A 27,612-nucleotide genomic window follows, 5' to 3' on the forward strand; every position below is an offset into this window, starting at 1 on the left:
ATTGCAGGAAGGGCTCAGGCAACTTCCTGTGTTTGGGAATGCCAAAGGCACAACTAGTTGCTTGAGTTTGAATCTCTTTCCTGAAGGGGAAACCCCTTTGAACTGGTAGCTGACTTTAAGCTTAGTCTCCCAAGGCCTTTCCTTCAAGGCATCCTGAAACCTGAGCCCACACATCCCTCTCACTAGTGTCTGCACACTACTAGTTCTTACACCAGGGCTTTGCAGAATAAAAGAACTTTTCTGCAGCTGGCATTGTGACCTGACAGTTCTCGTGGCTGTTAGGGATTACTTTTATGCAATTGCAATTTAACAATGTGAGATTTCTTATTGGCGCTTCTGTACTGAATTTGGAGGAGTGAGAAGTAAACGGTGGGAGAATGGGCAAGAGGTGAGCAAGGCATTTTGGCCAAAGGCCAGCACATTGTCAGAATAATACACACTTATTCTTTTGGTATCTCCTCCTACCTTTGAGTGAACAGGTTCATCCAGTGTATTTGAAAATTGCATTGACAGCCAAGGTTTTGAAGGCATAGCTGCGATAGATGAGCTTTGCCTCTTCTCCAGCTCTGTTGCTGGATGCCTGGTTTTATGCCCTATCTTGCCATCATGGAGATTTAATCAGGTAGCAGAGTTAATTGCCAGCATTGTTTGCCTTTTCCCTGGCAGAAGCCAGTCTTGAGTAAATTATGGAGGTTTAAATTTGCTTGATTTCATGCAGAAAGTGGGGTCAAGAGGTCCCAGACTGTAGACACTCTCCTTGGTCAGCCAGCAGGGGGTCAGTTCTTAAAGGTATTTCAGAGGTGACTAAATGCTGTTTTTGAAATGTTCCTCCCCAGGAAGCTTTTTTTCTCTGGAGGTTAGTTTGCTGACCTTACCCTAGTGGGGTGGAGTGTCTGTGTGAAGGTAACACCCCAATTAAAGCTGCCTTTCTCCACGCTGTCACTGAGCTCCAAAGGCAAATAGGATTATGCTTGAGGAAGGGAAAAGCAATTGACACAGAAGCTTAGTTGTAGATCAGCATTTCCTATTTATGACTCTTTGAAATAGAGCATAACGGTAGCCATGTCAATTTGTCACTAAAACAATGACCAGGAAAAGAAAATTTCAAAAGAAACGAAAAAGCTAGCTGTGTAACTTAAAAAATATATATTATTTAAGGCTTTTCACAATAGAGCTCTAACCTGCCATTACCTGAGTTCCTCTCATTTCTGCTGTCTGACCTTTCTCCTCCCAGCAAGCTGTGAGGTGCCCTGTTGGATGGCTCACTGTCTTGTCAGCAAATCTTTGCACATGCCGCTCAGCTTGCCCCTAGGCTTCTTTGGCCAGCCCTCTCCTGCTTCTTCTTAAAGGCACTGCTCAGACCTCCTCATCTCCAGGTAGGGAGAGGTGATTGTGTAGATCTCGGTGTTTCCACCTATGGAGTACCTTTCATTCTTTGTTTACTACTTGTTAGTTTACATTGTAATTTGTGTTTTTACTGTGCTGTCTTCCCCACTAGGTTATGTGTGTTTTGAGAGGAAGGAAAGTGTTCATCTTTGCATCTTTAACACTATACCAGGCTTATAGTGTATGTTCAGGAAATGTTGACTGAATGAATGAGTACCAGAAATAAAGCTAGTGGGAATGATTGCTGAATCACCAATACCAGTGTTTTAGTAGGCAAGATGAATACAAATCGAGAAGAGTGGAAGTATTTTGTTTGCTTTAAACTCTAATTCATAGGATCCTGTGTTGAGCCCTCTGCTAAATGTTTATGTACATAATCTCGTTTAATCATCATTGCCCTAGGAGGTAGATACTATCATGATCCCTGTTTTACAGATGAGGAAACTGATACTCAAAGAACTGTACATGTCACAAGACTAGTACATGGCAAGGCCCAGATTAAAGCCCTCTGTTAAATATCTCTATAAAATCCTACACTTCTTCAGAACACAGCACAGTAAGATTCTTGGTAAGTATGTATAAAATGAGTTAACTAGGTTCGGAGTCATTTCAAAACTCATAATTTTAGTCATTTAAATGTACATCAGCTATTCATATCTATACATAAGGGGGACTGATAAAACAGGCCTGAGTCATTTGGCTTTAACTTACTTCTTTAAAAAACAAGTTTTGATTGAACAACTAGGCATTGTTCTAAATAGTGGGTGTTCTGGCTCCTGCCTTCGTGGAGCTTTCAGGATAGCCAAAACATAATGAATAGAAAGGAAAAGAGAAAATCATGGAAATAAAAACAGTATATTTGGACAGGAAGAAGTAGAGGTAGAGAATCCAGGTAAACCAGGACCTTGAAACATGATAAGGTAAAGAGAGGGAGAAATAAGGACTTCATTTGGGATTCTTGTACTGCAATTCATTTGGAATTCTTGTGCTGCAAGAGATCTCAAGACTGCTTAGGCTACCTCCTATCCACTTTTGAGACACATGGAACGTAAAGCCTGGAGAAATTATAACTCACACAAGATCAACCATTGGCTACAATTTATTGAATGCTTCTACATGACAGTACCTTACATATATTACCTCATTTATGCTAAGTAATACTACCTAGAAAGATGGTAATAGTTATATGATGATTTTTATAGACAGAGAAACTGAGGTACAAGAGAGATTAAGTACTTTGCCCAGGCTATGCAGCTGGCAAGTGAAAGAACCTGGATTCCGATTAAGAACTTGTGATTCCAAAACTGACTTCAAACATGCTAACTCAATTTTGAAGCCATTTGCATTAACCCTGGTGGTGTGTTCTACAGTAAATAATTGAGCCTGTGTTTGAGTAGATGTATGCTTAGAAGCTTACATACTGCCTCCTGTGTTCATCTCCACTTCTGGATTTTAAGGGACGGTATTGGCAAGATCCAGTTCTCCTTATGCTCCTTTCCATGCTGTCCATACCCCCCATGCTGCCTTCCCTGCTTCTCCAGTACTCAAGCCCTATTTGGGATGCAAGTGGGCAGTGGGGAAAAACAACATTAAGAAAAGTTACTGTCCACTTCCCAGCCAACCATTCCTTCCTGTCCTTCCTCCTCCCCTACCGATTCACTTCCCAAGTGGAGCTGGCATGTGGGATGAGACCCGATCTGTTGTCTTGCCAGCGACTCTGGTTCCATGTCCCTGGCAGCTCCTTGAAATCAGAGCTGCGATGCCTTTCAGGGCTGCCTCAGTTTAAATGCCAAGGCATTCGTTTTGTGAGCCTAAGCTTTGCATCTCTTAGGGAATTTTCCTCTCTTCTTAATGTCATAAAGACATTTAAGTGTGTTGGCATTCTCCCCTCTTCTCCCAAAGAACAGACCTCATTCTGTTGGAGTTTTAATAGTTTTTCCTTCTGTTTTAGTGGTGTATTTACCTTTTTAAATTTATGTGCACACTTTGTGTCAGTGTTATATATTCGGTGTGTTTTTATTCCATAGACTTTCTGAAATCATAGTGTTTGGGGTGGGTTCTTGCTTATTGGCCCAGATTTTATTAACAAGGATCAAGAACTTTTAGGATTTTTGTCTTAGAAAAGAGCTAGAAGTAGCAAACTCTGGAGTTCCCCACACTTGAATTTTCCAAAGTCTATAAAATGGTAATGCATACCCAGTTTGGGTATGTATGTAGGAGGGCATAGGGAAGGGCTGTGAACCATTACCGTCTGGTGTTCTGAAATCAGATTGCTTGAGTTGTATCTCAGTTCCATCACTTACAGGTTATATAGCCTTGAACATCATTTGCTATTTCTAGTTCTACAGTTTCCTCATCTGTAAAGTGAGAACAATAACCGTATCTATCTTGGGGGTTGTTGTGAATATCTAATGAGGTAATACATGTAAAGCACAGTATTTTGCACTTAGTAAGTACTCAGTAAATCTTGACTGTTTCAATATCACACATTAAATCATTTTATACACTTTTTTAAAGGAATCTTTTTGTTTCTTTTCCACTTAAAATGGTGTTTTTCAAGCAGGCATTAGTGAGTATTGTGTCAAGAGGGTTAGGTGAGTGGGTTGGGGATAGTGATGGCACATAGACCATGAACGGTCCCTGGGGATTAATTATGACTTAAATATAGGGCTACTTTCTGACTTCAGTTTCCATAAAGGTCAGGAAGAGATGAAGAATAAAATTTGGGGTAGAAAACTCAAAAAGGTTTCTAGAAGTACAATGAGTTGCTAAGGTACAAATACTAAAATCCAGGCACCTTCCTAAGACTACAGCTTAATATCAAAGTGTGATGTCATGGAAACAGAAGATCAACATTGAAAAGATGGCCTTTCCTGGCCGGGCGCGGTGGCTCACACCTGTAATCCCAGCACTTTGGGAGGTTGAGGCAGGTGGATCACCTGAGGTCGGGAGTTCGAGACCAATCTTACCAACATGGAGAAACCCGGTCTCTACTAAAAATACAAAATTAGCCCAGTGTGGTGGTGCATGCCTGTAATCCCAGCTACTTGGGAGGCTGAGACAGGAGAATCTTTTGAACCCGGGAGACGGAGGTTGAGGTGAGCCGAGATTGCACCATTGCACTCCAGCCTGGGCAACGAGTGAAACTCTGTCTCAAAAAAAAAAAGAAAAAGAAAAGATGGCGTTTCCTATTGTGTCTCTTGGTTGTGAAATCTAATTATAGCATGTTGTGGACATTTTGGCTTTAATATCCTGATTACATTAGGACCCTAGGAATCCCATTCAGCTTCTTTGAGTTTCCATCCCATATGTATTCCATGGGTTTGTGTGCATTTCTCATCCCACACTGTTACATCTGGCAGACAGCTGTTGTCACAAAGTTGGTGATGGGTGTCCATCAGTGATATGGATGAGATTGATAGGGAACCTTGGCAATCCCAGAGTATAAAAGACTAGGGAAGTATGCAGCAGCCATAATAGCAGATAGGACATTTCATTCTCAGCCACCTTCTGGCAAAGATGGAATTCAGTCCTGGGCTTTTTGCATGATAACATATGAATATGAATGTAATTAATGCCACCGAATTACACATTTAACAATGGTTAAAATGGCAAATTTAATATTATATATATTTTACCACAATTTTTAAAAGTGAACAATGTAATATACCAAAACCATTATATGCTTTAAGTGGGTAGATTGTATGGTATATGAATCATATCCTAATAAAGCTGGTAAAATATATAAGAACATTTAAATAATCTTAATTATTATCAGTGCAAAAATATTTTTGCTTACATTGCTGTATTAAAAGTACTTAATATTTTAATGGTAGCAAAGAGATTGACTTTCTTTCATCACTTTTTAAACTTTATTTTAAAAACATTTCACATTTAACTGATAACTTTTGAGAATTGTACATTGAACTCACATGTTCCTCACCTATTTTCACACATTGTGAACATTTTCTCTTTATTCTCTGTGTTCAGAAATATGCACTTTGATATGGCAGTGGTTTTTGTTTTTTTATTTTTGTCTTTTTAAAAAATTCACTGTGCTGCTTCTGTTAATCCTTTGCAATCTGAAAATTCATGCCTCTTATATCTTAACGTACTGAGAACTTCTTTAATTTCTTTGATAGATTTACTTCTCCCATAGTCTGTGTTTTCTTTTCTGGAATCTCCTATTAAATAGATGTTGGACCTTCTAGATTTTCTCATTTTCTCTGTCCTTATTTTTCATCTCTGCCTTTTTGTTCACCAGTCTGGAATATTTTGTCATCTTTATCTTGCAATCCTGACCTTTTTTCCCCCGACTGACAGGACCAACCAGGTAGCAATCCTGCCCTCAAAAAATAATTTAAACTATTATATTTTTAATGTTGAAGAGTTGTTTCTGTTCTTTGGTAGAGCTTTTAAAATAAAAATAGCAATTTATTCTTGTTTCATGGATGAAGAATCTTATCTGCCAGTGGCTACAATTTGTTGTTGATGCTGTTTGAATTTCCTTCTGCTGCTTCTGTTGTTTCTGTTACTTCTAAGTTCCTTTTTTTCTTTATTCATTTGGTTTCTGACATTCATGCTGAAGATGCTCTTGAAATGCCTGTGATTCTAGAATCTGCTCATGATTGAGAGGGAAGCGCTGAAAAGCTGATCGGAAGTTCTTTGTGTGAAGGCCAGCTTGTTGCCTGGAGGACTTCACTGTAAGATGTTGGGGTGCCGAGCTAACCACATGGCTACCAATGCTTTGGGAACTAAAGGGGAAAGAAGGCTGTAGGGCCCACCATTCAGAATGTAGATTTTTAGCCTGTATTTTCCTCTCCTCTGTGCCTGTATTTCCCTGTCTAGAGCTTCAGTTTCCTTGGAGAGGAAACCTCCCTTCTCTAGCTGGGGTGAGGGAAGAGTCGTTTTTCTGGCTGAGTAGGATCAAGGGAGGGTTTGTGAATCTGGGCCTCTAACTGCTCCTTAAACAGATTTTTAACAGTCTTCCTGTTTTCAACCTTACCGCTTCTCTTACCTCACAAGGTATCTGTGAGTTTCATTCCTGAACCCTGTGAATTCCCAGGTTGGCTTGCTTGCCATCGCTGCCTCCCCTCCTGGTAGGTGCCCAGGTCTCCACTCTCACTCCTCCTCTGCTACCCCTTCTCTAGCCCTTTCCAGCTTTCAAAAATATCGTAATAGGCCCATCAGCTGTTGTCTCTTCTCCCATCTCTTTGTCCTTGTAGATTTATATTCTTTTATATTCATCAACTGCCTTTTTATTGGGTTTGGGGAGAGAATGGAGATAAACGCATGCTTTAATCTGTCATGTTTAACTAGAATTCTTTTCTCAGCTGCAAAAGTTCTCAGCTCCTTTTCCAGTGATATCAGAACCAAACTTAATTAGTCCATGCAAATTTTGAGGAGGGGAAGACTTTGAGCAGTTGCTTAGCTCTGGGATCTGTCCTGGTAAAAGCCACCAAGCCTGCCATGTTTGGGTTTGCTGACGATATTGGGTCAGCCATATTGTTACAGCTGCTTTTCTGACCCGTGTTAATCTGTCCTCTTGTAGAAGTGGGGCAGCGTGAGCAATCCACTCTTCCTCCCGCTGATCCCACCACAGTCTCAAGGGTTCACCGCCATAGTCCTCACCTACGACCGAGTAGAGAGCCTCTTCCGGGTCATCACTGAAGTGTCCAAGGTGCCCAGTCTATCCAAACTACTTGTCGTCTGGAATAATCAGAATAAAAACCCTCCAGAAGGTAAGAAGCCTTAGTGCCTCTCTCAGCTGGATCAATTTTGGATGGCCAAATTATTCACATCCTTTGTTTTAAATAAATTTTCCTGCTTTGTCAATAGCAATACCATTTCTGAGACAGCATGCCTCCATTTTTCTCAGTCATCTCATTCTTGTTCTAGGGTGGCCCATTTAACTCCAAGCCCTGGCATACTCTGTAGCCACAAGTGTTTGAGGGCTTAGGAATCAACAGGATCAAAGGCTATCAGCCTTAGGAAAACAGATCTCAGCTTCCCTCAGCCATCTCAGCTGATTTGTTTACATGAAAACTCAGTTTAAAAGGCATTAGTTTTCTCCTTTCTTATCTCTGCTCTGATGCTGTACTTTCTCAAAAAAAAAAAAGGGATGGCCTCACTTCTGATTGGAAAAGTCAGCAGCAAAGCATACCCTGTCCAGACTTCAAGTCAGGTCCTTAAAGAGAGCAATCACTAGAAGTTCCCATTGGTTCTTCCTTAATCACTTTGTTCCTTGCCTTGGCCACCCCTGTAATCTGCTGGCTGGCAGCTAGGGTTGAGGACTATTTGATTCATTGGATTTGTTTTTAATTCGGGACGCACAGAGTATGTTCCACCTGCATTTGGTTTCTCATTCAGTCTGTGTATTACTGATCCTAATCCCAGGGACTTCAAAGCTCCTGCCATTTATAGCCTATTAAAGCCAGGAAGTTTCTGATGGATTAGAGCAAGGAATGAATGAGTTTGAAGTTAGTAATGTGCACCACTGTCACCGATAAGGTCTAGTTTATTGCCTGACAGTAGTATCTGCACTTTTTATGGCTAGTCTCTTTTAATTGGATATACTGAAGTCGGGAAAGTCAACCTTGAAAATTGCCAGTAGTAGATCTATAGTCTAGGCTGGAAGAAGTCCATATTTCTGGCTCTGTTAGGCAAATCAGAATTTGCCTTGAGAAAATTCTTTAGTTTCTCCTTTACTTCATGGGATGTTTGTTCTCTGAGAGAATCATATGCTTTCTTTTTAGATTTAGGGAGCCACAGTTTGAGTAAATAAAACAGCTATTTTAAATGAAGGTCCTGTATTATTCCCTGATTTTTAAAAATTAACTTTCTATGCCAAGATTTGTTTTCTCTTTCTCAACACTATAACATGGCCAGTTTTCTGGATTTTTGTTTTGTTTGATACTTAATAAGGGAGAAGGAAAGGGAGGGGTAAAAGAAAAAGGAAGATGTGGGCATCATTTAAGAAGGGAGGATGAGAATACAGAAAGGAAGGAAAAGAGAGACAATTATAAGGAACTATGTAAAGAAGGAAATTGTTGACTTGGATTTCTTCATACCAATTGCCTTTCTCCAGAGTGAAGTGAATTGGATGGTATTGCATTGCTAATTAGTCCCTTCGTTTATAAAGGATGGGCTATGTTTGCAGAAGGAAGGCTGGGCCTCTCATTGGGTCTGGAGTGGCCTGTTGTGTCTTGCAGTAGTCACAGGCCTGTATTTGCTCCTGCATGGAAAGGCCACCAGCTTTCAGAGAGACTCTCAGCCTGCTCCTGCAATCCTGCCTGAAAGGCAGAGTTGCAAATTCTAGTGCTAAATGCAAAAGAGGCTTCTCCTTATTACTCCTGGTTAGCCACTTTAGGCATAAGGTGAGTTATTTATTGTGAATTTGTGTCACTTCTTTGGGGAAGGTATCATTGCAAACTGTGAGAAAGGATACATTTTTTTTTCCTTCTTGATCTAAGCCTCTACACTGGCACAACTAAAGGCAGTAGCAGGAGCCCAGATTTTGGAGTTGGGTGTTCAGTTTTAATTTTTGGTAAGACCCTGCTAAAATGTAGTGGTTAATTTTATGACCAAGACTTTAGTTTATTTTTAAAAGATTTTGACTCTAGGGAGGAAAAAGAGCCCTTAACTGATGAGGCCCTAATTTTGACATGTGTAGTGACTGGACTGGCTTTTTACTAACAGTGGTTTTTAGGTCAGGGCTCTGGCTCTGGCGATGTGGTTGTTTGGGGAGAACATGAACCATGTTTAATCTTCTGTGGGGTGTTTGTTCAGTTGGTAAATGAGGCTGTCAGCTCTGGTCCGCATGCCAGCAAATGCATCTGATTTTTCACGTACAGCATTAGTAACATATATATTATAAAAAAAAAAAAAAGCAAGTCCAAGTCTTTGAAATATTAGAGGCAAAAGTGATGTTTTTCGCTTTCTCTACATTTACTAAAATAAATATTGTGGTTACCATGTCTGCTGCTGGGAGGATTTGTGTAGGCAGAAATCTACCCCCCTTCCCACTTTTTTTTTTTTTTCATTCTCCAACCCAACCAAATACTTTTTTCTTTTGGTTACACTTAAGTCCAAATTTCTGGGTTTTAAGTTTAAGTAAATACTTAGACTAGGCAATTGAAATTTCCAGTGAGCTTTCATCACATTGATTTTGAGCTTTGTCAGAAGAAAAGGCAGGCTACTGCCTTTCTTCCTTTAACTGACTTTAGTTTTAAATTTGAATTAACATCAGGAGCCCCCCAGCTTCAGACTGTGGTTTGCATAGTCCTTAGCAGGCAGGGTGGGGTTGGCTGAGCATGTCAGCAACCCAGGATGGTCAACAGGGGAGTAAAACCAGCAGCCACCTTCCTTTTGAGCCGAGTTCTAGGACTGCGGGGAGTTGGGTCATGAGACCAGCTGTACACCAGCAACTCAGGCAATTCTGAAGTGGGCTTAAGGTTTGTATGGAAATAATCTGATAATTTATTTTGTGAATCTGTGGTTGTATTTATGATAGTGATTGGCAGGATGGACTTGGGGTCATCTTCAGTCAACCTGACCATTTTTGTAGTACCTTTGCCAAGTTGGAGAAAAATGTCTTTGCTCACATTTCTCTTGGCATCCAACATGGAGAAAACCGTTAATCAATATACTTAAAAAAAGAAATCCTTAACACAAGGAGTTCTTTTTCTCCTTTGAGCTGGACTAAAGCTCATACTGTGAAGTTATCAGGTCACCTGGCTCAGCTGTTTGTTTTTCATAAATTCTGCAACGCATTTGAAAAATCGTATTTTTCAGGCTACTTTGTATGAATGGAAGGTGACATTTCTATTTCGTCTGTTATAGGTTCACAGGATGAGACATAAGATACAAGGGCATGCTGTTTCATTTAGAATTTAAAGGAGTAAGGAAGAAAGACCCCATTTAGGCTAAGCAATAGAAGTTGGGCCTGAAGATTTCTAGCTATGACACAGTTTCTGTCTGCATTCTAGGGGTCACCCCATATTCTTCTGTTTAGACCTCTTCATGTTATCAGTAGAGAAGTGAAGTTCATAGGACTTCACAAGAATCCATTTGTGAAGATGATAGTGATATAACCATATTGTATACTTTTTTAATCCTAGGAACAGGAACTGTGCTACATGCTTATTATCTCTAGACCTTAGGACAAACCTGCAAGGAAACTGTTGTTATTCCCATTTTACAAAAATAAGAAAAATGAAACTCAGATTAGTAATTTGTCAGAAATCAGCACAGATCTTTCTAGATCCAAAGCTCATGCCCTTTGCACTAAGCCCCTCTGTGTCTATTTAGATTACCATTTAGTTGTAGGAAAATCATCATGTGTTGTCAGTTCTTTGATTTGGGATCATATAGAAGAACTAGATCTTTGTCAGGGACTCAGAGAGACAGAAAAGTAAATCTATTTTTTTGAAAAAACTAATGGGAAAGAAAAATCCTCTTTTCTTTTTCACATATGTTTTTCTTTCCTACCTCATTCTCCCTTCTCCTTCTACTGCTCCAGTCCTAATTTTTTTAAAGGTTACCTTTCCAGAATCAAAATTCCATATCAGGATTATCTAAAGGCAGGATATAATTTTAATGCTTATTCTTTGATTGCTACCCTCTCATTTCTGGCCTCCACGAAAGGGATACTGTCAGAAGCCTGAGAGAATGGTACTTCTCTTTCATGGAGGCCATTTAATTTGACAAAGGGAAAACATGAAACTGAGAATTCTATTTAGAGTTCTGCCTGGTGGTAGCTGATCACTGAAATGGAGATGCCTTTTGCCAAAGCCGACTTTTGGCTACTCAGACCTAACTTGCAACAGGGAAAAGTAACCATGTATCTTAAAAAGCCATGATTCATTCTATATTTCTACCTGCACCCCATATCATCCTCCTGGGTCTTCATTGTTCTCTAAAACTTCCCCTTCAAAGACTTTACAGAGGCAAGTTAGTTCTTTGTGGACATGGTCTCAAGTAATTCTTTGGACATATATAGATGAACAGTGCGGAAAGCTGTCTATGGGTTGAATATGCTATACACATTCGCCAATTGTAAGTCCAGATTCCATCCAGTATAGAGGTACGTTCATACTTAATCAAAGTAGCTAGCCTAGTTTCTCTACATAGTGGAAAGAGGAGCTGCTTGTTGCCTTGTGGAATTAACATGACCAAAGTTCCATGTTCTTTTGTTTTATTAGTGTGTGAGAGTTTAGAGGATTCATGGCAGGGATCTTGCTTCTCTCAAAGTGGATATGGAAGGCCTGGGCCAGGGGTATACCACTGGGTTGTCAGGGTGATGTACCAGATCTCAACTGTACCACTTTGACACTGCTACCTAGGGTTCAAAAAATGCTCTGGTTCTGTAGGTAGACACAGACTTTCCAGGGAAAGCATGGCTGACATTTTAGTGACTACCTCCAGTGTGCTGGGCACTGTGTTGCTAAATGCATTCCCATTCACCCTCACAGTCAATCATGTCAAGATGGTGTCATTGTTATTCCTTCTTCATAGTTGAAGAAGCAGGCTCAGAGTGTTTAACTTGTTCAAGGTCACATGACAAGCAAGTGGTAGACCTGGGATCTGAAGCTGTTTCCAAAGACTGTGTTCTTTCTGTGATGTTTTGCTGCCTCATGGAATCCTAAGGCCATAGAGGCATCTTGTTTAGTTTTCCACCTGATGTCAAGTAGAAATCTGACCTAAGTTAGTGCATTTGAAGTAAAAGGGCATGTTGTGCTGCTGAAGGCAACACATCTTAGAACAGTTTATACCATCAGGAAGTTCTTACCTATTTTAAGTCTAAATCAGTTTCCCTGTAACTTCTACCCTTCCATTTGTCATGCTTCTAACTCTAGAGACCATAGAGAACAATTCCCTTTTCATTCGATAATCTTTCTGATATCCCAAGAATATTAGTCAAGGTTCATTCTGGAGACAGAAACCACATGATAATTTGAACAGGAAAAATTTAATCTAAAGAATTATTAACTAGTAACAGGATTTGCCTACTACAGGGTAAAGAGAACTCTAAAGGTTACAGAAAATAAACTTGGGAGAGCCCCTTCCCCAGCTAGATCTGAGATTCACACCTTACTAATCACATCCACTGGATTAGTAAAGTTTACTGAGGTGCCACAGGCCAAACTTGACAAGCAGGAAACCCAGTCATGCCCTCGTATACACACAGAATTCAACAGAAATCTGCCCCAGGAGTGTTATTGAACTTGCTGGGAAACTGGCTAGGGCTTTAGTGGAGCTCACCTGGAACTACCCACAGGGAGAATTGTGGCTGAGTTGCTGGTGGGGCATCCACATAACTTGCTGGGAAGCTTCCTGGAGGGGTGCTGTTAAATTCACTGGGAAGCCAGTTGGGGTGTGCTAGAACCTCCTGGGAAGCTGCCCCAGGGAAGAGGTGCTACTTACACTTGCTAGAGACAAGTGCCCCTGCCTGCCTGCCTGCCTGCCTGCTGGCCAGGCACTACTGGAGCAAGAAGTAAAAAAGGCATACCAGAACCAGGAAGAAAGCCACCCCCATGCGCTGCACTGGCCCTTCAGTGCCCTGTACTGACACAGTGTGACGCCATGCCAGTTGGCAAAGAAGAGATGTTTACAGGGTCCAGTTCAGCTATCACTAACAGGGCAATGATGACTACAGTTGAAACTGAGAGGCAATAAAGTGATAAGTGGCACACTTAGTTTCTTTAAGCATTCTGTAGAAAGCCTGGATACAGATGCCTGCACTGTCCTTGTTATTTCTTCTCAACTATTTTCTGGGCTTGTTGGTACTTCTTTTAATGTTGTGGTACCCAAATCTGAACAGAGTCTAACTCAGCAGATTTCAGAGTGTAATCTGGGTACCCTGAGCATCCCTGAGATCCTTTCAGGAGATCCAGGACATGGAAATTATTTTCATAATCACTCTGAGTCATTATTTCTCTTTCCCACTTCTTTTATTCTCTCACAAATGTACAGTAGAGTTCTCCAGAATCTACAGGTCATGAGTGACATCATTTCCCACAGCTAATGGAATGTGTGCTCATATATTTTCATGTTTTAAAATTTCCTCAGTTTTAATTTTTAATACAGTAAATAGACAATGTGTTTGTGTGTGTGTGTGTGTATCCTATATAAACAAAATCTCTTTGGGATTTTCAGTAATTTTTAAGAGCATGAAGGGATTCTGAGACCAAAAATTTTGAAAACCACCGGTCTGGTAGGTAGGGCTATAACCTCCTTCATTTTAGATGTTACAGGGCGGGGTCCCCAACCCTGGGCCATGAACCCGTAGCCATCTGTGGCCTGTTAGGAACCAAGCTGCACAGCAGGAGGTGAGTGGTGGGTACCACCTGAGTTCCGCCTCCTATCAGATCAGTGGCAGCATTAGATTCTCACTCAAGCGAGAAGCCTGTTGTGAACTACTCATGCAAGGGATCTAGGTTGCACGCCCCTTACGAGAATCTAATGCCGGATGATCTGAGGTGGAGTAGTTTCATCCTAAAACCATCCCCGCCCCTCCTTCCCCTACAGTCATGGAAAATTTTTCTTCCACAAAACTGGTCCCTGGTGCCAAAAAGTTTGAGGATGACTGTTATAATGTATTCATATTTTATAAGGATTTGGGAATGGTAGATGTATGACAGGGATTTTATTTATCTGAAATAGGGAGTGGGGATCAAGCAAGAATAAGGATGATTGCTGGAGAAAGTGATTGAACCTTACTAGTTTTGTTCCAGATCCAGAGAAACATGGGATTCTGAAGCTGCAGGTCCTTTTTGGTCTTTTAATGCTAAACAGACTTAGGTTCAAATACTAGCCTTATCATTTATTTTCTGTGTATCACTGGGCAAGTTAATTAACCTCTCTGAGCCATGAAAATACTAGTTTGTAAATAATTCCTGCCTCATAAGGTTGTCAGGAGGATTGAATGAATTACAGTGCATCTGTAAAGCATCTGGCATATATTAGTTGCTTAACAAAGTTCCCTTTCTCCCCTTCCCTCTACTTATTCTTATGCTGAGAAGAATGGACTTGCTTAAGATCCCATAGATAATGCAGAACCCAGGCCTCCAGTCTTTCAGCCATGTGTTCATGCATTATTCCAAAGATATTTTTCGATTATGTGCCAAGAATGAAACTATAACTGTTGATATTGATGAAAAGGCAGTGGCCTATAGGGTTATTTCTTTGGTCACGGATTCAGCCCTTCCCCAAACACACTTTTTGGAGCTGACCATTCTCTTTTAGGCTCTGTGCCACAGGTTTATTTTAAGACCGTGAATACAGGGCCTCTCACTTGCACAGGCCTCTTCCAAGACCCTGGGAGTGCCCCCAACAATGTGTTCTACAACCAGTTATATTACAACTATGCAGAAGTAAAACATTTTATCTGCAGTCAGTTAAGGCAGCTTTTCTCCTACTGACTTTCCCTCTATCATACTTCTTCTTCAGTATGGTGACTTTGGAGTGGCCAGGAGCGCTTTGGGACTTCAAGACCCACAGAAATGAGATTTTTCTACAATTACATGATGGACTTTTTGAAAGCAGTATGATACCTAGCTTTCCTATTCTCATTTGACAAATGTGTAAAGAACAAACTGCCCTCTGAGATCTATGGACATGGGTACTGTACCAAAGAAGTATGAATTTCATGCTATGCTAAATGCAACATTTTAAAACAAAGAACCTGTGGTTAAATTACCCAGTTATTTCATAAAGTAGAATGGGAAAAAAATGTAAGGCACGTCATGGGTTGGTGTTTCTTCAGTATACTAGAAAATCCCACATAATTGGACCTAGAAATTTGATATTTACTTTGTAAATTGGTCATGATGAGAAACCAAACCTAGTGAGTTGAGGGGAGGGGATAAAGTGCTGAGTTAAGGAAGCTACACTCATTCAATAAAACATACTTTGATGAGTGGTGGATTTTAGCGGCACCAAAAGCTGTTTGACTGCATGATGGAGGTGGGCACGTCGGGGACCTTCGGCACATGCACTATATTTCCTAGCACTGCTGCAGGCAAGTTTTCAGCTAGGATATACTTATCTGAAAGTATTTTGCAGAGTATTTACCAGAGGTGGGTAGAGTTCTGATATTAAAGTCTTGATCCTGAGAATGAGGTTATGCAGACCTTATTTCTCTTCCTGTCATTGTGACCTTGGTCGAGTCGTTTTGCTTCTCTGCCTCTCAATTGTGAATTGAAGCCAATTTGTTCATTCTAGTTAGGACAGTATTGAGAATTAGTAGTGTTACAAGGATTTAGAGAGGATAAATATGTATGTATATAGTATGTGTGTATATATGTTGTATATATGTGTACGTGCAGTATATATATTTTTTATTATAACAAAGATGCATCTGTGAGAATCTCCCCTGACACAGTTCTACCTTTGGATTTGATGAGAGCCGTGGATACAAGCTGATTCTCCCATCTCATTTGTGATGTCATGCTTTTACTACTTTATCTCCTCACAAAAGTTAGGAGAATAGTAAATACCTTTTCTCTTTTTCCAGATTCTCTCTGGCCCAAAATCCGGGTTCCATTAAAAGTTGTGAGGACTGCTGAAAACAAGTTAAGTAACCGTTTCTTCCCTTATGATGAAATCGAGACAGAAGCTGTTCTGGCCATTGATGATGATATCATTATGCTGACCTCTGACGAGCTGCAATTTGGTTATGAGGTAAGGAGGTTTTACACAGTGTGTTTATATGTTTAATATTACTTCCTATGACTGCTTGTCTTTTCTAAAAAAGAGTATTATATTTCCTTCTTAAAAGTCAGAGTTTCTAAAATCTTCCAGTAGAGTCCAAAAGGTGTGCGTAAGAGTGTGGGTTATGAAGCTGTTCTTTGAAGCACTGGAGAAACCCTATTCCAAAATGGCAACTGTGCCCTCCACTGGTTTTGGGAACTCCCAAGGAGAGTCCCAGGGGACAATTTCAAAAGAGCATCTATAGCATTTAACAAGCACTTAATTGATGTCTCCTTGAATACCACTTCCCTTGACTCAAGCAGCTAGGCGCTGCAACAATAAAAACATCAATAAGTGAAGAAGCTGGCGACACTGACAAACAAAGCAGACCCTGTTGATGGCTTTCTTTCTGAGTTTTAAGTGGAGAGGCTGGCTGCCTGTCTTTAGGGAGAAACATTCCCTATCACCGTTTATTCAATGAGGCTGATGGATTAGGCTGGGTTCAAGGGTTAAGTATGGAGACCAGTAAAGGTCTCCCCAGGGGAAAGTGCCAGAGTCCAGGCCTGGTGAAAAGCAATAGGAATTGATGGGCCCTGTCAGGGTGTACGTGAGATGCATGATGACAACAGGCGGAGGCCTGCGGCTGCGGGTAAAAGTGGTATCAGACTTAAGCATGCAGAGTGTTCAAGTCATTTAGCTATAGCTGGCTCAGGGGAAAGGGGAGCAAGGTAACCATTTTCTTTAGCTAACTTAGGATTTGTTGAATTTGGGGTTCTTAAATCATAAATTTTTAAAAATGAAGCTATATTTAGTACATGTATTTATTATAGAAATACATTTTTAAACACTTAAATTGAAGGTGGATTTTAAGGACAAGGAAAAGGAATCCCCTCCCCCCCGACACTATCGCCACCACTAAAAATTAAAAGCTCAAGTTTTCCTAGGTTTTTAAAAAAAATGTAGCTTCATTTGAGTGTAAAAGAAATTGTTATGAAATAGATTAATAGATTGATGTGCGATGCCCTGGATGATGTTGTTATTGGCCAATGAAAGGCATGAGAGTAGCTAATAAAACATACATTCATCTTTTTGGATTTATTTTTATTCATAGGAGATGACTTTTACAGCACAGTGTCTAGGGTGTTGGATGATATTTAGTATACTATTATTCCTATTTTTAAAACAAATTGCCTACTTGTTTTTCTAGCCAAGTAATGGCAAAAAGACTAATTTTTTTTTTTTTGCGAGTGATTTCTCTCTTCATTGCATGTAATGGCTTCAAATGCTACCCATGTGTTTATTTTTGTGGCAAAAGAGAGGTGGAAAAAAGGAATGTTCAAAACGACATGACCAAGATGGACAGAGGGCTGTCTCTTAAGTATTTTCAGTTGGTCTAAAGGAAGACTACTAAAAGAAGGGTGGGCTAAATGTATTTCTATGATTTCTTTCAACCCTGAGTTTGTTTTAAGCAACTAAGACTATGTTAATGCGAGGAAGTTTTGCAGCACTTAAAGGGACTGAGCTCGAATCTTTACCTCTTTCCTCTGATTACTTGTGTTTGATTCCATATTACCTCTAAAGAAGTAATCATTAGAAGAGTGAAATCAGGAAGCTTTCTTATCTCTGTTAGTCAGAATATCCAGATGCTATGGAAGGAACAACTTTGATAACAACCTTGTATATACAACTTACTATGTTTCTGTCAACGTCCCGAGTGTTTCCATACATTACTTATGCTCTTGGCCCAGGCCTGCAAAGCAGGTATGTTTTTCTTATTCTGTGCTGAGACTAAGTAAGGTTAGATAACTTGCTTATAGTCACATAGCTAATAAGTGGAAGAATTGGGATTTAAATCCGAATTTTTCTGACACTGTGCTGCCTTCCCTGAGGATTTTACTGTGAGTGACATTTGCCAGAGATCAGTGGTCCTCAGAAGTAGTACTTACAGCCATCAGCATATCTTTTGCCTGTCACAAAATTATTTTGACTCTAAGACAAACAAATACATTTTTTAGGTACCCCTACCATTGGTGCTTTAGGGCCTCCGTGCCCAAATTCCTGCTCTATCACTGACCAATTTATGATGATTGACAGGTTATTTAATCTCTCTGGATCATAGTTCATTCTTACATAAAATGGTAATGACAATATCTACTTCATGAGGTTATTATTTGCATTGGATGAAATTACATAGTGCCTCCCACATGGAAAGTGGGATTCCCCAGTCTAGGTTGGGTTCAGAGCACTCTGTACCTCTTTGTGAGCAAATAATGGTGAACTGTGTTGTTTGTTGCCTTTTTTTTCCTTTTAGAATGTAAGCACCAAAAGGCAGTAAGTACACTTCCTGTGTGATAGACAGTAGATTTTACACTTTACAGATGCCATGTTAGCTGCTGCTGCTGTTATCATTATGACTACTGCTATTTTCATTATTCCATTCATGATTCTACTATGATTCATGAACGAGATTGTTGTTTTCATTATTCAGAAGGAACATTTCTATCTTGAAGAAGGGACTCAGTTTAGTGTTGAATCAAGAGACAGAAGATCATGATGCTCCTAAATCCTGCTTTTTATCCCAAAGCCTAGTATTTTCATGCAGAAATTGGGAGCAGGCTTGATTGATTAAGGGAATAAATAAGTAAATATTTGCATCCTAGGGGAGTTATATTGGATCCCAGAACTACTATTTTGTGGTGTTATCACAGTCCCTTGGGATTATATCTGTCTTGTTAATCTCTACTCATCCTTCAACACTCAGCTTGGCTGTTGCTGTCTCAAAGAAGCTTTCAGAGAATCCTCAGTCAGGTTGGGTTCAGAGTACTCTGTACCTCTTTGTGAGCAAATAATTGTGAACTGTGTTGTTATAGTGTCTTTTTTTCCTTCTAGAATGTAAGCACCAAAGGGCAGGAACCATGGCTGTCTTATTCATTGCTATGCCCTCTGTGCCTAACCCAGTTCATTGCATTCAGTAGTTAATTCAGTAACATTTGATGAATGAATAAATCTCCCTTACCAACACACGTATGAAAGATATAGAAAAGATTATTCTGGCCTGTATGCCCTTCCACTTTACTGTGATCCATAATCTGGTTACATCCATTTTGGAAAGCAGTTTGGAGTTTAAAATGTTAAACATACATCTACCATATGACCAGCCATTCTTCCCATGGGGATTTACCCTAGAGAAATGACAACAAAAGTCTGCACAAATATTTGTACGCTAACATTCAAAGCAGCTTTTATTTGTAATAGGCAAAAATTGGAGAAAATAAAACAATGTCTATCAACAGTTAACTGGATAAACATTGTGATACATCCATAGAGTAGAATATGGCTCAGTAATAAGTAAGAAGTAACTATTGATACATGCAACAACATGGACAGTTTTCAAAGTAATTATGCTAAGTTAATGAAGCAGGATGAAAAAGAGAACATACTTTATGATTCCATATATATAAAATTCTGGAAAGTACAAACTAACCCTAGAGATAGAAAGATCAGTGGTTGCCTGGAAGGTAAGTGGGGAGGGTCAGGCTGTAAAGGGCAGGAGGGACGAATAACAGAGGGGTACAAAAAACTTTTAGGGGAAATGGATATGTTCATTATTTTAATTGGGGTAATGGTTTTACTGGTGTATACAGATGCCAAAACATGTCAAATTATACACTTTAAATAAATTATTTATTGTATATCAACTATATTTCCAAAAAGCCACAAGGACAAGGAATGTTACTTATACTCTAGCAGTAGCATAAAAACTGAAATACTTGAAAAATACAACAAAATGTGTGCCAGATATGTTTAGTGAAACCTAAAAAATGTTGCCGAGAGAAATTGAAGAACAACTTCATAATTGGAAAGATATACCATGCTTGTGGATCCAAAGACTCAGTATTGTTACCATGTAAATTCTTCCCAAATTGTATAGATTCAAAACAATACAGTCAAAATCCCAGAAGTCTTTTTGTTATTGAAATTGACAAGCTAAAACTGAAATGGAAACACATCAGACCTGAAAAAGTCAAAGCAATTTTTTAAAAGAAGAACAAAGTTGCAGGACTTACACTCCTTATTTTCAAACTTGCTATAAAGCTACGGTAATCAAGACGTGGTGGTATTGGTATAAATTTAGATATATAGGACAATGAAACAGAATAAAGAGTTTAGAAATGGACCACACATGTATGGCCTTGTACACTGTCAGTGGGAATGTAAATTGATACAGCCATTTTGGAAAAGAGCATGGAGGTTCCTCAAAAAACTAAAAGTAGAACTGCCATATGATCCAGCAACCCCACTTGTGGGTATATGTCCAAAGGAATTGAAATCAGTATATTGAAGAGATAGCTGCACTCTCATATTCATTACAGCATTGTTCATAATAGCCAAGATATGGAATCAACCTAAGTATCCATAAACAGATGAGTGGATAAAGAAAATGTGATGCATATGCACAATGGAATACTATTCAGCTTGAAAAAAGAATGAAATTTTGTCATTTGTGACAACGTGGATGAATCTAGAGGACATTATGCTATCTAGAGGGCAGGCACAAAAAGACAAACATTGTATTATCTCACTAAATGTAGAATCTAAAAGTCTGATCTCATAGAAGTAGAGAGTAGAATGGTGGTTACCAGAGGTTGGAGAGAAAGGCAGGTAAAGGGGAAATATTGGTCAAAAGGTATAAAGTTTCAGTTAGACAGGAGGAATAGTTCTGGTGATCTATTCACAGTAAGGTGGCTATAGTTAATAATAACATATGTTATATTTCAATATTGCTAGAAGAGTGGATTTTAAATGTTTCCACCACAAAGAAATAAGTATGCAAGGTGATGGATTAGTCTGATTTGCTCTTCTACAATGTAAATGTTTATGGAGCTATCACATTGTACCCCACAAATGTATACAATTATTACTTGTCAATAAGAATAACATTTTTTAAAAGCTGAAAGAGAATAGGATTAAACAGAGGGGGAAAGGTAGACTGAGCAAAAATTACTGCTTGAAACATTTTTTAAAAGATGGTATAGGCTGGGCGCAGTGGCTCACACCTGTAATCCCAGCACTTTGGGAGGCTGAGTCAAGCGGATCACGAGGTCAGGAATTTGAGACCAGTCTGGCCAACGTGATGAAACCCCATCTCCACTAAAAATACAAAAAATTAGCCGGGTATGGTGATATGAGCCTGTAATCCCAGCTACTCAGGAGGCTGAGGCAGGAGAATCACATGAATCTGGGAGGCAGAGGTTGCCGTGAGCCAAGATCGCACCATTGCACTACAGCCCGGGCGACAGTGAGAGACTCCGTCTTAAAAAAATAAAAATATAAATAAATAAATAAATAAATAAATAAATAAATAAATAAATAAATAAATACAGGATGATATAGAGGTACAAGATGACACACAAAAAAAGTCCTCAACATCATAGTCACTACAACAGTTTTAAAATAAAAGCACATTGAGTTACCACTATATCTCCACTAGAATGGCTATAAGTAAAATTAAAAAGAATGACAATACTGAGTGTTGGTGAGGCTGTGGAGCAACTTGAACTCATACATTACTGGTGAAAATGTGAACTGGTACAACCAATTTAGAAAACAGTTCGGCATATAGAACATTTTTTATATGACCCAGCTTCCAAAAGAAATATATATGTGCAGACATATGTCTGCATAAAGACTTATAAGATCCCTAAACTAGAAACATCAGCTGGTAATGGATAAACAGAATGTGGAGTATCTATACAGGGGAGTACTACACAGCAATAGAAAGAAAGAAATGGATACATGCAGCAACATGAATAAATCTCAGAAGTGTTATGCTAAGTGAACAAAGTCAGATGTAGGAGGCTACTGACTGTATGACTCCGTGTATATGAAATTCTAGAGTAGAAAAAACTACATTGCCAGGCCTGGGGGATGGGATTGACCACAAAAAAGCAAGAAGGAGCTTTTCAGGTGATGGAAATGTTTTATATTATGATATGGTGGTGGTTATATCATTATATACACTTGTCAACACTCAATGAATTATACCTTTAAAATTGATAGTTTTTATTGTAAGTAAACTCTATTTCAAAACTTGAAAAAAAAATTGTGGGATGCAGCTAAAGCAGTGCTTATGGGAAAGTTATAGCATTAAATGCTTATATTATAAAAAGAAGAAAAGTCTAAAAGCAGTGACCAAAAGTTCATTCCATCTTAAGAACCTAGAAAAAGAAGAGTAAATTAAACTCAAAGCAAGTAGAAGGAAGAAAGCTAAATTAGTTAAATGCTAAATTAGTGAAGTAGAAAACAGACCAACAGAGAAAGTGTACAGATCCAGCATCTCATAGCAATACTCAGAATGTTCCAAAATTACTCATCATACCAGAAACCAGGCAAATTGCAACTTCAATGAGAAAAGATAATTAACAGACGCCAACAAGGTGACACAGATGTTAGAATTATCTGGTAAAGATTTTTAAAAGGTTATCACAAAAAAAGCCTCTAATAAGCAATTATGACTACTGTCAAAACAAATGGAAAACAGAAAGTTTCAGTAAAAAGACAGAAGATATAAAGAAGAGCTAAATGGAAATTTCAAAACTGATTACAATACCTAAAATTGAAAACTCACTGGATGGGCTCAATAGGAGAATGGAGATAACAAGAAAAAACTGGAGAACTTGAAGATAAATCAATAGGAATTCTCCAGTGTGAACAACAGAGAAGAAATAGATTGGCGAAAAATGAACAGAGCTTCAGAGACTTGTGGGACAATCACAAAAGATATAATATTTGTGTCATTAGAATTTTAGAAGAAGAGAAAGAATGTGGGACTGAAGAAATATTTGAAGAAATAATGGCTAAAAACGTCCCAAATTAGCAAGAGACATAAATGTACAGACTCAAGAAGCTGAACCAACCACCAACATCCAAAGAATAAATAGTATAAATTTACATAAATTGTGTAACCTGAATAAATTGTAGCAATACTTCTTATTTCAAATAGTAATTAGAAAAGAGGAAAAATAAACTGGTTTATATATCCAAATATATATACATAAGGAAAGGAGAAAATATGCATAGGTGCCACATTCTTTGCTTCTGTTGCTTGATCTCCAGACCATAGGTGATATTTGTAACTTTCTTCTTCTTCTTCTTCTTTTTTTTTGAGACGGAGTCTCTCTGTCGCCCAGGCTGTAGTGCAGTGGCGCAATCTCGGCTCACTGCAAGCTCCGCCTCCCGGGTTCACGCCATTCTTCTGCCTCAGCCTCTCCGAGTAGCTGGGACTACAGGCGCCCACCACCACGCCCGGCTAATTTTTTGTATTTTTAGTAGAGACGGGGTTTAACCGTGATAGCCAGCATGGTCTCGATCTCCTGACCTCGTGATCCGCCCGCCTCAGCCTCCCAAAGTGCTGGGACTACAAGCGTGAGCCACCATGCCCGGCCGTAACTTTTTTCTTCTATCCATTCCATGTTCCCTTCGTTCCCAACCAGCAGTCTTGCATATTTACTACAGACCCAATTTCTTTAATGTCTCTAATACAATTCAGATTTCCTTCTTGTGTTGGTTTTGATAAATTGTATTTTCCAGGGAATTTGTTCATTTTATCTAAATTACAAAATGTATTGGTATAAAGTCATTCGTAATATTCTCTTGTTGTTTAAAGCCTGTAAGATTTGGAATGATGTACTCTTTTTCATTCCTGATACTGGCAATTTTTGTTTTATGTCTTTCATGATGAATCTTGTTGGAGGTTTATCCATAATCTTTTCAAAGAATTGACTTTTTTTTTTTTTTTAAAGACAGAGGGTCTCACTCTGTCACCCAGGCTGGTGTGCAGAGGTGCAATTGTAGCTAACTGTAACTTCAAATTCCTGGGCTCAAGTGATTCTCCCACCTCAGTCTCCCCAGTTGCTAGGACTACAGAATTGTCCCACTATGGCTAATTTTATTTTTTGGCGGGGGGTGGGGGCGGTAGACAAGCTCCTGCTATGTTGTTGTGGGCTGATCTTGAACTCCTGGTTTCAAGCAATCCTCCTGCCTCGGCCTCCCAAAGCACTGGGGTTACAGGCATGAGCCACTGCACCTGGCCTCAACTTTTGAGTTTTGTTGATTTTTCTGTTGTGCTTTTTTTGTATTTAATTACTACTCCTTTCTTGATTAATTTCTTTCTCTCCTTTGATGAATTTAAGTTGCTGTTGTTTTCTAGCCTTTTGACTTGATAGATCAGGTCATTGATTTCAATATTTGTTTTTCTAATATATGCATATAAAGCTATAAATTACTCTTCAATTGCTGCCTTAGGTGCATTTCCAGATTTTGATGTGTCATATTTCTATTGTCTTTAAGCTCAAAATATTTTCTGATTTCCATTGTATTATCTTCTTTGACACATATTTATATAAAAGTACATTGCTTACTTTTGTCAGATTTTTAAGTTAATAGTTTTTTTATGGATTTCTGGTTTGATTCTACTGTGGTCAGAAAATATACTCTACGATTTTATTATTTTAGAATTTATTGAAACTATATGGCCCCATAAAAGGTCTATTTTGGTAAATGTTCTGTGTGTGATTAAAAAGAGGGCGCATATGCACCTGTGGATTTAATGTTCTTACTAGGCCAGTTAGGTAAGTCTAGCTACCTCAGCACCTTTAGCATAATCAAAATATCCCCTTGCTTGTTCTCTGAAATAAGCATCTCTATTTCTTCTTTTTTCTGTAGCCTTTGTCATTTCTGTAATAGTTAAATTCATTATCCTACTTAAAATTAAAAATGGTTTAAATACAGTATTTACTATATGAGAATCAAAGAGAAATCATGCAGCAGACCTTTTTAGCTGTTGCCCCAAAGAATTTTTAAGAGGCCTGGAGAGAGAGGAGTCTTCCATTTGGGAATTTTTTTTTTTTTTTTTTTTTTGAGACGGAGTCTCGCTCTGTCGCCCAGGTCGGACTGCGGACTGCAGTGGCGCAATCTCGGCTCACTGCAAGCTCCGCTTCCCGGGTTCACGCCATTCTCCTGCCTCAACCTCCCGAGTAGCTGGGACTACAGGCGCCCGCCACCGCGCCCGGCTAATTTTTTGTATTTTTAGTAGAGACGGGGTTTCACCTTGTTAGCCAGGATGGTCTCGATCTCCTGACCTCATGATCCACCCGCCTCGGTCTCCCAAAGTGCTGGGATTACAGGCGTGAGCCACCGCGCCCGGCCCCATTTGGGAATTTTTAAGAGAAGGAAGCCAGCAATCCCCCAGCATTTAGAGTGGTTTTACTAGGTCTGCTTGGATGCAGAAGAATAGACCAAGTGACTTCCTGAGATCCCTTTGGTTGTAATGATTCTAAGCCATCAGAAGTACAGGCAGATCTGTAAGGTGTGATTCCGTATGGAAAAGTACCAAACTTCAATGCATAAAAAATGTCAGATTCCTTCACTTTCTTGCGGAACACAGAGAGATTGCATGTGTTAAGATAAGGGTATATTTGCAGGTGATAGCCAACAGCATGTTGAAATTGAAGAAAGAAAACAAGAAGTTATTTTAATGGAGGAGAGAGAGCCGAATATGGTGAACCAGATCTTATTTCGTTCAGGATTCTAATGATGCCTGTACTGAGGAATAACGTGCAGATTCAAGCCCTAGACTTCCAGCATGTTTTTCACAAATGCAAAGGCATCCGAAGGCAGTGCTTATGTTAAAGGGTTGGAAGAATTGATTTACAGAGACCATTTTAAAGCAACTGGCTCCAGGTCTTGCTAAAGGAACATAAAGCAGTGATTAAAGGCCAGTTCACAGATTGCACTTCCGAGAGCTATGAGAGAAACTTGGGCCTAGTGTAAGAGGGAAGAGATGTAAGATAAATGATGAGGGAGATCTACCTGGATATTAGCTTGAAAATTGATAGTGCACTCTAGAATCACTCTCCAGGAGAAAGTTATTAGAGCCACAACAGTCCTTTCTCCATCCTTTGTCAAATCATTGCACAAATAGATGATGCCAATACACTATACTGGGATACACAAACAAGGCTGCGGCACACTAGATGTGACCCACCCGAGGCCTCACTGCTGATGGGTGAGGATTAGCTCTTTACATGAGCATTACCCATTCATAGCACCCCAGTCAGAAAGCTCTGTTTAAAAGAAACACAGTGTCAGAATGTGAAGATCTTAGGATCATCCTGTCACTTCAGGCTTTATTGCTGAGAAAACTGAAGTGCACAGAGGTTAAGTTACTTCTTTGGGGTGTTAAATGTACATTGAATATAATCCTTAAAGGCACACCATAGCAAGTTCTTGGGAATGAAAGGCTAGACCATGTAGGAAAGCCTGTTTTCTTCCAGTGTCTGTGACTTGAGCACACAGACATTTGGACCGAATACCGGGTATCATTATTTATTTAATTGGAAGAAAACAGAGGGGTTATTTGTGTGTTTATATGGGTCGTATTTCCTATTGGAAGGCAAAGCGCTTTGGGAAATGTTCCATTCTCTCTCCAGCCCTGAAATCAGGAGCTAGGAATGATCTTCTCTGGCCCTGTGTGTTTCTGACTTGTTTGACAAGCTCTAGTGAGCTACCAGATGTGGAAATTCTTTTCAGCCTGGGATAATTTATTTATCTGTTTATGTATTTTACTAGGAAAGTATCTATTGAGTTCTTGATACTCATTTGCGAGGGACTCCTAGGGGAACAGTAGCAGTGTATAGTGTTACTTGAATGTTTGATTTTTTTTTTCCAAGTCTGTCTGCTTTTATTTCAGATCTGAGAGCTGGGAAATAAAAAGCAACTTATTCCTCCTCCCCTCCTCCATCTTTGAGAGAGACAGTTTAAAACATGTGGCAGAAAATGAGCCATGGAGACTTGGCTGAATGTATGAATCTGTGAATTTATTTTTTCTTTCATTCTTTGATCCTCATTTCCAACCATAAAAATTACTAGTAGCACTTAAGTGTTGAACATTTTCACCTGAGAGATGTGAAATGCTCTTGGCTAAGAATATTCATTATAAAGTCAGTGAATGAATTCCTATTCATGTGAGAATACGAGTTCACCAGAGCAACTGTGTGTTGTTAGGCACACAAAATATTGATGCTCTCCCTTTTACAACCTGGGCATCTTGTAGGTGGTAGCACTGGTAAAACCTCCTGAGTGCTAATACATTGTGAGAATTTATTTGTATTACTTTGTTCACAACTTCCTAAGGTAATAACAAGTACATACTCTCAAAGAACCATGGAAGACCGCAAAATAGCATGGAATGCCCCAGTTTTTTCATGAGAACATAAAACCATCTTTGAGTGGGGTTTCCTGATGCAGGAAGCACCAAGAAGAAAGACACCAAAGGAGAATGAGCTTGGTGTGTGTGGTAGTACAGGGGACCCATCATCATAGCGGTGTGGCAGAGTAGGAATTTTGTTTTGGTGAGCAGTGGAAGCTAGGCTGCTTAGGGTAATAGAGGGCCAGCGGAGGTGCAGGCTGAGAGGTCAACTGAAAAGTTTAATGTGACAGGCAGAAAAGAGGTGTTGTAGGTTTTTAGAGAAGTAT

General features: G+C 39.4%; 1 protein-coding gene across 9 annotated transcripts in view, besides 1 other annotated feature; it reads left to right on the forward strand.

The window, feature by feature from the left end:
* Nucleotides 1-27,612, forward strand: part of EXT2 (exostosin glycosyltransferase 2) — a 156,285-nt gene that overhangs the window by 95,214 nt on the left and 33,459 nt on the right. For all 9 annotated transcript variants that reach the window (XM_047426529.1, NM_001389630.1, NM_001178083.3 and 6 more), the window contains 2 exons: nt 6,938-7,127; nt 15,902-16,068. In XM_047426529.1, the coding sequence (XP_047282485.1) occupies nt 6,938-7,127; nt 15,902-16,068 (357 nt within the window). The remainder of the gene's footprint in view (nt 1-6,937; nt 7,128-15,901; nt 16,069-27,612) is intronic.
* Nucleotides 6,365-7,564: an enhancer, noted in NCBI's record as "MED14-independent group 3 enhancer chr11:44218806-44220005 (GRCh37/hg19 assembly coordinates)". NCBI's record gives its function as "activates an origin of replication core promoter dependent on BRD2, BRD4, P300/CBP and CDK7 cofactors, and independent of MED14, by STARR-seq in HCT116 cells {active_cell/tissue: HCT116}" and the evidence as "EXISTENCE:reporter gene assay evidence [ECO:0000049][PMID:35650434]".

This window comes from Homo sapiens, chromosome 11, assembly GCF_000001405.40.
Source record: "Homo sapiens chromosome 11, GRCh38.p14 Primary Assembly".
NCBI classification, from domain to species: domain Eukaryota; kingdom Metazoa; phylum Chordata; class Mammalia; order Primates; family Hominidae; genus Homo; species Homo sapiens.